Genomic DNA, 13,534 nt, shown 5'->3' on the forward strand with positions numbered 1-13,534 from the left:
TGGAGCTACTTCTCTATCAAAAGCATTAAAAAGAACAGTTAAATCTTATAAAGAGGCCGATGTTAATTGAAAGGGAAGAAATGTTTTACCAGTTACCTGAAAAAAATAATTATTGGAGTTGAATGCTAGATTTAGCTTTTTAATTTTTGCTAAGGGAAATAATAATAAATAATAATGTTTCAAGTCAAATAACATCATTTTTCTGAGCATTATGGGTTTTTCTCACCTAGATCAACAAAGAACTTTGATACTGCAGTAGAACACATTTATTAACTATGATTTTATTAAAAAAACTCAGAAACATTCTTTAGATGGTTACTTCTTTTATTGCTCTTCTCTAAAATCTGAGCATATAGCATTAAATAATAATTTATTGAAAGCATTTCTTTAGAATATTAAGGTACTGTAGTATAGATTTGTTGTTGACTGTGAAATCTAAATTAATGACAGTGAAGCTTAGATAAGCAAGAGGAATGGAATGTTAACTTGTCTTCCAGCCATCTTTCTCAAATACTGGGCAAGCTGCATCTTCCTTTTGGCGAATGCCCAGTTTCTAATTGACAGATGAATTATCTGATGAGTCTGAGGTCCTATTTTTCTGTACTATTGATTAAAGAGAATTTCTTGTGTGTTAAATTCTAAATATGCCTGTGGCAGAGTTGGTAATTCTGTAATAAATACTTAGGAAACCAGCATATTCTCTCAGATGGATCTGAGACACAAATAAAATATTGTCATACCTGCTAACATACTCAAACCAATACCCAGCTCGTATCCCACAGTATGCACCATTAAGTATGGAAGAACCAATTTAGGTCCAAAATGTTTTAAGGATTAATATTATATAGCACTACCCCAATGATGAAAAGTTTTTGTCTGACCCGCCCATGAATCTAACTTTCAATAGAATACAATGTTTTGGTAATGCTACAAGAATGAATGGGCTGTAAGATATACTGCCCTCCATGGCTACATAATTTGAACTTTGAATGGGTTTATTTGGTGCTTTTCATAGTAACAGCATTTTAAATTAAAAAGTCTTCCTGAATCTTAGCAAAGAGAATTTTTAAATGCATAAAAATTAAAGATATAGCTACGGATATAAAATATTGAAACAATTATTCCTTATATCAAGAAAATTTATAATTCTTTAGTTCCTACTGCAGGAGGTATATGGTATCCAAAATATGGACTAAAGCATTAAGAGTTGCTTTTCATGCTATTGAATCATAGAGGGGAAAGAGGGAAGGAATTCTGAGGGCCAGTGTTCTCCAGTACTCACGCTGATTGCCGCAATCTGCCAACTACATTTTTATACAATAAAATTATGCATCTCAAGTGATTATCTCGTGTCTTAGCTCAGATTTCCTGGAAAACACAGGCAAAAGCTTACGTGCTAACACTTTATTGGGGGAAGGGGTGTTAAAATCCCAGGGAATGAAGAGTTAGGGAAATAGAGAAACGATATGGGGAATGAGGGAGGGCAAGTAGAAGATAGAGTGTTCTTGAGCTGATCACAGCTGTTCAGCAGTACAGTGTGTTGCTCAGTTGTGTGGGATGCCTCCTGAGAGACCATATGCATTACAGAACAGAACAGTGCCTCCCCGGGGAAGGAGGATAGGCACTTTATATGCAGGTTCCTTACATCTCCTGTCACTTACTGGTCACAGAGTGTTAATTTCATCATACTTCCTGTTGATATTAACCAGTTCTTCCAGGCAACCCCTGGGGAAGCCAGAGCTGCCTTGAATACAGCCTGTTGAGTGTCCAGGCACCACAGTCTCTCCTTATCCATTAACATGGGGTCTCCTTGGTGAGTGGTAATGATGGTAGCAGCTGGCTTTCATAAGTACACTGTGTGGGGGCAGTCATTTCTAGGGCCATTCTGGCTCAGAAGCAAGGCAAGTAGCCAAGGCTTAGAAAGAAGGGCATAGGTTGGGCTGGGGGGTCCTGGCCTTGACACAAGGAAGATTCCCAGAAAGCACAACCCTCTATATTGTATATGGTAATTCATGCATATGAGTATGTGGACCAAAATAGCAGTCTGTATAGAAGACATGCAGCTGGCCCTCTTTATCTGTGGCTTCCACATCCTTGGATTCAGCCAACTACAGATTTAAATATTCGAAAAAATATTTGCTTCTGTAGCCAACAAGTACAGACTTTTTTCCCTTGTCACTGTTCCCTAAACAATACAGCAGAACAACTACTTACATAACATTTACATTGTGTATTAAGTATTTATTATAAGGGATCTAGAGATTATTTAAAGTAGACAGGAGGATGTACGTAGGTTAAGTGCAAACACTATAACATTTTATATAAGGGACAGATGTTAATATCTGTAGGATGTCCTGGAACCAGTCCCCCACAGATACTAGGAGACAAACATGTATTGAAGCAGCATATATTTGTGCACTTTTCATGTGCACAGTAATGTAACTTCATGTGTTGTCATTTAAAAAATAATCTCAGTTGAAGCTTATACAGGAGCAGATTATGTACAGTAAATGCAAGGCAGCAGACTCATTAAGAGCAGACACTCAGATGGACTTCCTGTGTTTGAATCCCAGCTTGAACTTCTAGCTGTGTGAGCGGAAGCCTCAATTTTTCTATCTATAAAGTGTGGCTAATTATAGTATCTACTTCACAGGGTTGTTATGAGGACTAAATTAGTCAATATATATAAGGCACTCAGAACATTGACTATCACATAACCATCTCTAAATATTTGCTATTATTATTATTATTATTATTAATCAATTTCACTTTCTCTGCTGAAAACAAGTCAGGGAAGCCCATAGATAAACTTTTACAGTGTGGTGAACATAAACAACACAACACAGGAGACCTGGATTATCAGCCAGGTGCTGTGTGACCTCAACCTCTCTGTTTCTCAGCTTTCTGTTCTTTGAACAAAGAGTTTTCAACTAGATGTTCTCAGATGTCAAATCTACCCTTAACAGTTGTGTGGTTTGCTATCCAGGCATAAATTCTCTTCATTTTTAAGGGCAATTTCGCAGTTTCTCTAATTGCATAAGTATTGATGAAAGCATGCAAGTTTTTATCACTTTTTATCATTTGTGGAGGATTGAAAAAGAAAATAAACTCCCTGTGTTTTAGAACAGGAATGTGACACAAAAATGTTTTATAGAAAATAATGTCAGCCAGGTGCAGTGTATCGTGGCTGTAATCCCAGCACTTTGGGAGGCCGAGGTGGGTGGATCACCTGAGGTCAGGAGTTCAAGACCAGCCCAGGCAACATGGTGAAATCCCATCTCTGCTAAAAATACAAAAATTAGCTGGGCATGGTGGCGGGCGCCTGTAATCCCAGCTACTCGGGAGGCCGAGGCACAGGAATCGCTTGAACCCAGGAGGCGGAGGTTGCAGTGAGCCAAGATTACACCATTGCACTCCAGGCTGGGCAGCAGAGTGAGACTCCATCTCAAAAAACAAAAAAAGAAAAAAGAAAAGAAAATGTCTTCTGTACATACATACGTATCCCACCTTTTCCTAGTTTAGTATTTAAAGAATCATGGAACTATACATAACACAGTAAGCTGAAGGGGAAAAAAAAACTATTGAAAGACAAAGAGTAGGGCCTTCCAAGAATAGAAAGAAACCCATGCCATGGAGTCTTGTCAGTTTGATGTGAATTGTCAGAATATTTGACTCCAAGCTTTCTAGGAGCCAACGTGAAATTACATACATTTCACATAAATTACATGAAATGACATAAATGTAAATTACATAAATATAGGAGCCAATATGAAATTACATAAATTTAATAATATAATGAACTTTATATAATTTATATAATATTCATAAATTTCATAAAGTTCATTATAAATATCAATATCATTAAATATAGTATGTAATATATAAAACATTGATATTAGGTATATTAAATATAATACTATTTAAAATATAGTCTTCCTGACTGGGAAAAACAAATTTCTGAAGTAAAATTCAATAGCATTTTTTTCCCCTGAGGATGACAAAAAATGTCCTCAACAATTCAGTTAACACCATTTTTTGACAATTTATACAATAGAGTCCAGTTGTGCAGATGCTACCTGAAGATGGATTAGCATAAAATGGCTACCAAGTATCTGGAAGAATTGAAGAAATACATATGTACCACCTTTCCAGATGGTCTCCAGAAAAATCCTCTTCCCAGCTAGACAGATAATTCTTGGCAGGGAATTTGGGACTGTATCAAATACTTGGAGTACAGCTGTTTCTCAAGAGTTGATCTGGGGTAGGGTTAATAACCATTCATGAAGATCTAGAATTACAAAGACTAGAGCTTCTATAGTTGTGAGTTTTCAAAATTCAAGTAATGAGCTGCTGTGATCCAATCTATGATCAAAGTTATTCTGACTTCTCATTTTCCCACTAAGTAGTCCAACACTCTGGCGCCCTCATGACCTAACCATAGCTTTGTATTCTTAGTGGTCCCAAGTTTTCTTCTTGTTCTTATTCTCTCTTTTGTCAGGCTATGCCAGGAGAGAAAGAACTGCATAGTACTTGCTTTCTGTATTCCAGGCAGTATCCAGTGCTTTTTAAGGCTTAAACAAATAAGTGGGTAAATGACCGCTGTTTTAAATCAATATTGCATTTAGAGATAAACTACATTCCCTCTAATGATGAGTCAACTTAACTTTGCTAATTTGATAGCTTCTGATTTTAGAGTTTCTCATTCTTTTCTTTCCTTGTTATACCTTGTTAATTAAGCTTTCAGTGGTATAGTGTAAATTGTGTCAACTGGACCCTGAAATAGAAAATTATTTCAACTTAGTTGAGTTTTATTGCTTTTGCATAGTTTTAAATTAGTTCTAAATATGCTGTATCCCTGAGAAATAATATTCCACCCAAAATGCAAGTGTATATAATATTGGAAGAATTAAGCTGTAAAGTCACATTACACAGTATATCTAACGTCAAAGCCTCTAGTGCATTAACTGAATTACTTGACCCTGGTTTAGTGTTTCTTTTGTCTCTGTAGATTAGTCAAACTTTGATACCATTTTTACAGAGTGTTAAAGAGACAGCATTAGAAACTTTGCTTATCCTATCAAGAAGCAGAATTCTGGAAGATCATTACACTGTTTGAAAGATCAGTAATAAAGAGAGTGGATAATGATGAAAGATCTGAACAAAAAATTAAATGAGCTAAAGCCCACAATTTGATTATTATTTGTATATGTATAATTCTGAAGACCTCTTTAAACATGAACTGAAAGACAAACTTTTAGAGCTACTAATTTTGTAGCACTTCAAACAAAAAAGATAACATTTGTAATATTTTAGATTGTGATCACAAACTATAGGATATCACATCATTTAGTTCTGTCATTTATTCATGCAAATTTTCTTGAATACCTATTATTTTCAGAGAACTGTACTGGATGTACAGTATGTGTGTACTGGTGTGGTTAAAACAAAGAAAGCCCGCTCTCTTCATGGATCTTCTAGGAAACTTCATGTTTGTTTGTTTATTTATTTATTTAGAGGCAATGTCTTGCTCTGTTGCTCAGGCTGGAGTGCACTGGCGCAATCCTGGCCTCAGGTGATTCTCCCACCTGGGCCTACAGGTGCACACCACGAAGCCTGGCTATTTTTAGTTTTTTGTAGAGACAGGGTCTTGCTATTTGCCCAGGCTGGTCTAGAGCTCCTGGGCTCAAGCAGTCCTCCCACTTCAGCCTCCCAAAGTGCTGAGGTTACAGGCATGAGCCACCATGCCTGGCTCATTTATTTAATTAAAAAAAAAAAAAAGAAAATTTAGGAACCACTCGTTTTAAACAAAGTTGTAGTCTTAGTATTTTCCCATCACTGTGAGTCAACTCTACAGAAATGTAGCTAATCTACATTTTTCAAGAACTTAAATACAACAGAAAAAAATAATTGAAGTAGATAAGTTGTCTCTTATCCATACTTTTGACTTCCCTTAGTCTGAGTTGACCTGTTTGTGCTGCAAACCAAATTATTAGTACAATTTCACTCCCTTTCTTCATTGTCCCCATTGTTATCCAATTAAATCTTCTATTTTTCTGTCTTTTTATTTCGTATAATATTGATATTCAACATCACCTTGTAGGTCGTAACTCTCAGATGCCAATTAAAAATATTTCATGTTGACTTATGACGTTACTAAATTATGGGAAATTTAAGGAGTTTTGTTCCTGGATATTTCTATTCTCTTATAACTTGCTACCACCTACAGTTTCTGAGGAAAATATTATGAAAACCTTTTCTACACTTGTTGAAGTCATGGAAATACAAACAAACAAACAAAAGAACACAAAGTAGATGGGCTCATTTTGTATGATGCACAGATGATAGATTTGGTAGATTCAGCCTGTCAGTCGCTCAGGTTCTGCCCCAGAGGTCAATGTAGCTGAGGCAGGTCCTTCAGAAACAATGTAAATTCCTTTCCTGTAACCAGGCTGCCCTGGTTTAAAATATCTTTTCATCTCCATTACAAAGATAAACTATTAGGTCAGTGGCAAAAACCACAATTACCTTTGCACCAACTTAATATTTTCTCCATCGATGACGAGCAAGGGACAATTGTAATTCCCCTTATTTCAATATTTTTTTCTCACATAAGACAAGTTGTCGAAGAACTAAATATAGTTGTTTCTCTTCAAGCCTTTCTACTTGTTTCCCCAAGTGTTAAAAGCTTGACACACTCTTAGACAAAATGAAATAATATTAGCAATGTTATTACAAACTTCAGTTATAACCAAAAGCAAATCATGATGTAAAATACTTCTGTTCATTACCAGTGATTTGAACATGGGTCTGAAATATGACCATATTCGACCTTGGAAAAACCTCCTAACAAGCTTATTAGGATATGCACTGATAATTCTTGGTTGCTCTTGGCAATCAGAATGTTTTGCCTAAGGGAAAATTTAAATTCTGGAGCTGCTCTTTTTTTCCTCACCTTACTGTGTAACCTTGAAATAACCTTGAAATAACACAAAGACTAAACTGCAGGTGGTGTTTATTTAAGAGCCTTAGGCAGTTTAAGCAGAAGCTGCTGTGTCAGAGAACTCTATTCTTGAAAAGGTGCCTTCAAGGTGTTATTTTCCTGAGTAAGATGCTTATAAAAGATCTATCTACAATTTGTTTAGAAAAGCTAATCTGCAGTTTAAAAAATTGTTTTTACATAATTCATCTTAGTATCTGAAAATTTTCTGGTTTAGCTTTCAGAGTTTTTTTTTTTTTTTTAATTTATAATAAACTTTCCCTATGACAGATTAAATTACATGCCCAGAAGCTGTTCTCAAAGGGCAAAGTACTGGAAAGAAATAATATTAAAGAATCCTGAAGGGAGAGCTTCCAATTTCAGTTCAACAAAGAATAAATTCAACAGAGAGGTTGACTTGATCTCTATGAAATACAGTATTTTTCTGCGTCTAGATCAGTATGTCTTTTTGGCTCAATGTTTTTTTTTTTTTCAAATGACTTTCATCATCTTCCTCAAAACATTGATTATTAAAATTTAGATGCGATGTTAAAAAAAATGAGTGACCTGTCCAGGGAGTTTATTTTTAAGCAAGGTAGTCTGAGATCCTGTCTATTTCTTGGTCCTTGTAAGGTTCATACATCATGTGTTGATTTCAGTTAGGTTACCGGGACCTTACAGGCTACACTGCAAGTTGTTCTGGCAGGTCTTTAACTGATCTTCCCCCTTTTGGAGCACAAATGGCAAATTGTTGTTTTGTTCTGTTTTTTCTCAAGAGTGTGTGGCATGTTGCCATCTTCCATCTTCTGTGAGTTTCCTGATGACTGTCTTTATGTGTTCTATTAGGTCAATAGAAGAACTTCTTCCTGACTCCCTTGCCTCTTTAGTTGATGAAAATGATAGGACAGTTTCATGAGCGAATAATTTCTTATCATTTTCTTACTGAAAAACTCTCTCACAAAAGGAGCTGGTTAAGCTTTAAGCGAAAGTTCCACATGGAGCTCTGGCAATGGGAGGAACATAAAAGATTGTTGGGTCTAAAAGGAAGAATCAGATGTTGCTCATCAGTTTTAAACAACACCTGAAGAGCAGACGAAAGGGTCCTCTTTCAGTTTTTCTGAAACTGTGTTGTAATGACAAAATGGTTTTGTGTGTCTGTGTGGTTCTGTTTCTGTTTTGTTTTTGACTTCACAGGAAGAGGTTTAAACATGAAGGCAAACCTTATAGATGTTAGCATGGCTACATATAAAGCAAAGCTGCCTCTTTTTTTTTCTTTTCTCTGCTTCCATTTAGGCCTATCACATAATTTAAGAAAACATAAAATTAACCACAGGAGCGCTAACTATAGTGTGACAAAAAAAACCCTGATCAATTTTGTTTTCGCAGCACGATATTATCAAAGATTTAAGAAACAAATTTGCCAGCCTCGGCGAGAACTCTCTGGTAACAGCATAAATGTCTGTGTTGGTTGCTTTTGATTTAAAGGTTTCTTTTTTCATTTGTTTGAGCCCATTTCTTTTCCCCCTCCTTTTAGTTCACTTTATTTTTCATATTCTGTAACTAGCAAGCCTTCATTTTTTAAACCTCTTCCATCTTCCAGTGTCTATTTTCTGTATTTTGGATGGAAAGTTTATGGCAGCAAAGCTGTCATTCTGGCTACCTCTGCTGCAGCTCTTCCTGCTCTTAGGTCATATATGTTTTGGCCGTTGTGTTTATGGACATGATACTAATTGACTGTTTCATGTCCCATTGACTAAGCTTCTCTACCACGCCATTTGATGGACTCACTGTCATAGGGCTCTATGCAACTTTCATTCTGCAACTTATACTGCTTAGTTCCTTCTCAATTCTCCAGTGAACTGGATTGCTCAAGTGAATGGTCATACCAGTCTTGAACTTGCTGTGCCTTTATATTTTATTTTTATTTTCTTCTTTATGTTTTCAGTGGTAGCTTAAGTGGAAAAGAATAAACTCCAGCCATTGCTCCAGCAGTACCATGCAGTATCGTTTGTTACCACCAGAGAATACAAAATATAAAGGCACATTGCATCTCTTATTCTTTGGGGGTGACTGGGGAGATCTGTATCATAAATCCACTACTTCGTTGAAGCCTACCTTTTGATTCATATCAGCTTTCAATTTTACTTAAACTTCAAGACATCTCAGTTAATGTTTTTCTGTGATTCAGTGATACTTTGCAACTCGAGCCATTTGCTGAGCAGTATCAAGTTATGGCCATGGCATGGGAGATTATTCAAAACGTGACAAACTTATGCACAAATGTATAAATCAGAAAGTGCAAGTTTCATTGATGAAGTACAGTACTTCAAAACTGTGATACAGGCTTTGAATGAATCAAATCATTAAAATTGAGAAAAAAAAATCCATGCTGATAAACCAGTACCAAAAACATATCAAGAAAACTATAAAGGGGGAAAAAAAAACAATAGTTGAATATGTTAATAATATCTGTTGAAGAACATCGTTGGTGTTGAAATGGTCCATAATGTTGTCATAGAGCCCATACATGAAGAGATGACTAAAAATATGGTCTGTAGAAATCTGTTGTGCTTACTGATACCCTCAACATAAATGGTTGGGATTTGTGTTCAGGAAAAAGAAATGGAAAAGCAAAAGCTTCTATACCAGCAAGCCCGACTCCACGATCGTGGCGCGGCTGAGATGGTGCTACAGACAATCAGTGCCAGCAAAGGTAAGGTTCCTTGAGTTCCCCTCACGAGTGTCTGTTCTTCAGATTTCCTCGTTGCTCTCAAGGTCCTCCCTCATTTCAATTCCACTGACTCATTTAGTCCTGGGGTTTCTGGTTCATGACTATATCAGGTGCCTATTCACAAATACGAGCTCTCATTGTTTACGGAGACCAATGTTAATTTTTTTTTTCAGAGTCTTACTATACAGATTCATTTTCATTCTGTTCTTTAAGTTTTGGAAACTATGTTATAACTAAACCTTAGCAGACTGATCCTATAAAATGGGGGTGCACGAGCTTTTTCTTTAAGGCTGGAGAGTCAATATGTTCAGCTTCGAGGGTTATGCAACCTGTCACAGCTCTTCAACTGTGCCATGTTAGCAGGAAAGCTGCCAGACACAATAAGTACACAAACAGCGTGGCTGTGTTCCAAAAAAACTTTATTTACACACACTTTGTTTACACACATAGGTGGCAAGCTGTAATTTTTTTATGTAATTTATGGTATTTTGCCATAGTTTGCTGACTCTTGATACAAATATGGAGACTTTTAAAGTGAGACTTTTTTAACAATTAAGATGCTGTCATATATCTCAGTAGCCAGCTGTTTCAAGATGATTTTTTGTACATTCATAATAGCTTCTTTGTGAAAACATTTTAAATATAATTTGTAATGGAATGGAAAAGTAATGGTGGTACATTCTGTTATTAGGTACCCTTGTCCTTGAATAGAAGATTATTTATATTTCTAGGATAAATAGAAGTGAACAATGAAAAATGAAATATGTTACACTAAATAAAATTTTGTTATTATCCGAATTACTTAAAATTGAGAATAGTCTGCCTAATAAACCAGATGTCAAACATATTAAAATAAAAGTGATACAATGAAAATGATGAAAGTTCTTCATATATAATACTGTTGAGGGAAGAGGGAGAGAAATTTTCTTTAAAGAAACTTTTAAGTAGCTCATACTTATTTTAATGTTTATTAAACACATAATTAATCTTGAATCTTAATAATTTCAGGTCTCGATATTTCAAAATCAGTTGTCTTCCTATTCTGTTACTTCTATATCTTCTTATGGTTTCAGTTCTTAGATATTATAGAGAATTTATTAAAAATGTTGATGCCAAATATGCATTATTATTATGTTAGCATTTTTTGGAACATAAGTCAGTCTCCCTATGCCATTAAACAGATTGCCTGGGGGGGCATAATAATAATTTTAAAAGTGCAGCATTGGAGGTAGAATAGGTTAATATAGAAGGCGAAATGATATAAGGAACACTACTTTTTTATATTTCTTAGGTGAAACTGGACCAATGGTAGCAGCTACTCTGAAACTTGGAATTGCTATTTTAAATGGTGGGAACTCCACAGTACAGCAGGTAACAGCTTCCAGTCATTCATATAATGTACTTTTCAGACAAATGGACCATATAGTAAAGAACTATTTGTTGTAAAATGTTTTATTTTCTATGTACAATATGGCTCAATTTTAGTTTACCACAGTACTGAAGAGAGAGCAAAAGAGGGAAAAAGTAATTATGTGATAGTGTTACAAATCCAAACATAAAATGATGTCAAAATATCTGAAAACATCAAGTGTGACCTTTTATCATGTCAAATGAATTCTGGTGCTGAGGTATGAACCACTCTCTCACCATGCGTTTACCAAACTGTGGCTCTCTGGTTATGGAACCTGGCAGGGGTAACCAGCTCGTTCTGTTCCCAGAATAAGTGATTATATAGCTTTGAAAAAAGAAAAAATAAAACACTTAATCTCTCCAAAACATTTATCAAAAAATAATGTCTCCTGCTTATGTTTTACTTAAGAAGACCCTCATTACTTAGTATGTATATTCAGAAGTCCTTAGATCCAGAGACAGGAGTGAGAGATCCTGTAATGTATACTTCTTGTCTATGTGGAACTTGTCTGTTTTCTTTATAACTTCAAATATATATCCCACCATCTCCTTTGATCCTGCAAGCCACATCCCTTTGTTTGAAAAAAAACAATGATTGTTTCATTTTTTATTTGACCAAAAGTTATCACACCCCCCGTAAATGGCTATATGGTTTTGTGTCTATGTGCGTATATATGTGTGTCTGTGTATCTGTGTATCATACCTACACTACGTGTATATTTGCTATTTGTGCATTTGTGCGTATATATATATATGCATATGTGCATATACTTTGTGCATATGTATCCTTTACATATTTAGTTTGTATTGCCTTCGCTATCTGAAAAAGATTACTACTAAAATTTAGTCTGCTTAACTGAGCCCTTTTTAGAACAGCATTGATAACAGGAATTGTTCTGCTCTTCCAGATTTGTAGAGAAGCAGTATTCTTATTTCCTTAAACCTTTGAGCATGCTTTCTATCATCTTGTATGTGCTTTTACATTTGAAATCTCTAATAAATTTTAACCATGTCAGAAATAGCTGTTTCGTTATGCTATGTAACAGTAAGCTAACAAGACAAAGCATTGCTTTAGCGTTTTTTTACATGTATGTTTAACCAAAATTTTGACCATAGATTCTGGACGTCATTCTGAGAACAAAGGAGAACATTTTAATAGCCAAATGATTCCTATTGTTTTTTCAATTTACAGACTATGGTAATGGAAACTGAATTTCCGTCTATAGCATTAGCATATGGCAGTCACAACTCTCAGATTGTAATGCTGTTCGGGGTTTTTTGTTTTGTTTTGTTTTGTTTTTTGAGATGTCACCCAGGCTGGAGTGCAGTGGCACCATCTCTGCTCACTGCAACCTCCGCCTCCTGGGTTCAAGCAATTCTCCTGCCTCAGCCTCCCGAGTAGCTGGGACTACAGGCACATGCTACCACGCCCAGCTGATTTTTGTATTTTTTAGTAGAGACGGGGTTTCACTATGTTGGTCAGGCTGGTCTCAAACTCCTGACCTCATGATTTGCCCACCTCAGCCTCCCAAAGTGCTGGGATTACGGGTGTGAACCACCACGCCCAGCCTGTAATGCTGTTTAATGACATCACCTTGGTATGGAAACCTGTGAATAACATCTATAGGAATTTTCTTCCCAGTTAACTTGCACTAGAGTATCTGAATCACCAAATTACTTTAAGAGTGACCAGGAGAGAATTAAGAGTAATATATTACCCCTGACATTTTTGGTGCTTGTGGTGATGTGTAAGGCAACTAACCCTCTTATTCCAAGTTTGCGTAACTATCTTGCTTCGAGGTGTGTTCCTACTTCATGATAAAGATGGCATTAGTCATGTTTGTACGCAGTGAATATTTTCTGTCTATTCTAGAATGGAAAGCCTGTTTTGGTTGTTTATTTATTTAACAAACAATAAGATTTTTGTTCAGTGGCCACGTGGTTTCTATAATTCCCATAGAAAATGCTTGACTACCTCAAGGAGAAAAAGGATGTGGGCTTCTTTCAGAGCCTGGCCGGCCTGATGCAGTCATGTAGGTAAGGACTCACTTCCTTCTTGGGGGTTCTACTCAGTGGTTGTATTTTTTCGAAGCATTTGTTTCTTACTCTGACGATAATTGCACATAGAAGAATAGTTAATGATTAACAACACTTTAAAGTGGGATAATCGGCAGTGTCTTGTTTTCTATCTTGTTTTAAGGGGTTGGTAATATCATAATTAATAACTTACAGAATGGTAATAATGTCTTAAAATAGCTTTCCCATAGTACTATAATCCCAGAGCTTTGGGAGGAAGAGATAGGAGGATCCCTTGAGGCCAGCAATTCAAGACCAGCCTGGGTAACAGGGCAAGACTCCATCTCTACAAAAAGATTAAAAAAAAAAAAAAAGCTAGGCATGGTGGCAACACACCTGTA

General features: G+C 35.9%; 1 protein-coding gene across 16 annotated transcripts in view; it reads left to right on the plus strand.

The window, feature by feature from the left end:
* Positions 1-13,534, plus strand: part of RYR2 (ryanodine receptor 2) — a 791,805-nt gene that overhangs the window by 704,515 nt on the left and 73,756 nt on the right. For all 16 annotated transcript variants that reach the window (XM_006711802.4, XM_006711804.4, XM_006711806.4 and 13 more), the window contains 3 exons: positions 9,590-9,689; positions 10,999-11,078; positions 13,078-13,154. In XM_006711802.4, the coding sequence (XP_006711865.1) occupies positions 9,590-9,689; positions 10,999-11,078; positions 13,078-13,154 (257 nt within the window). The remainder of the gene's footprint in view (positions 1-9,589; positions 9,690-10,998; positions 11,079-13,077; positions 13,155-13,534) is intronic.

Source organism: Homo sapiens, chromosome 1 (assembly GCF_000001405.40).
Source record: "Homo sapiens chromosome 1, GRCh38.p14 Primary Assembly".
Classification (NCBI taxonomy): domain Eukaryota; kingdom Metazoa; phylum Chordata; class Mammalia; order Primates; family Hominidae; genus Homo; species Homo sapiens.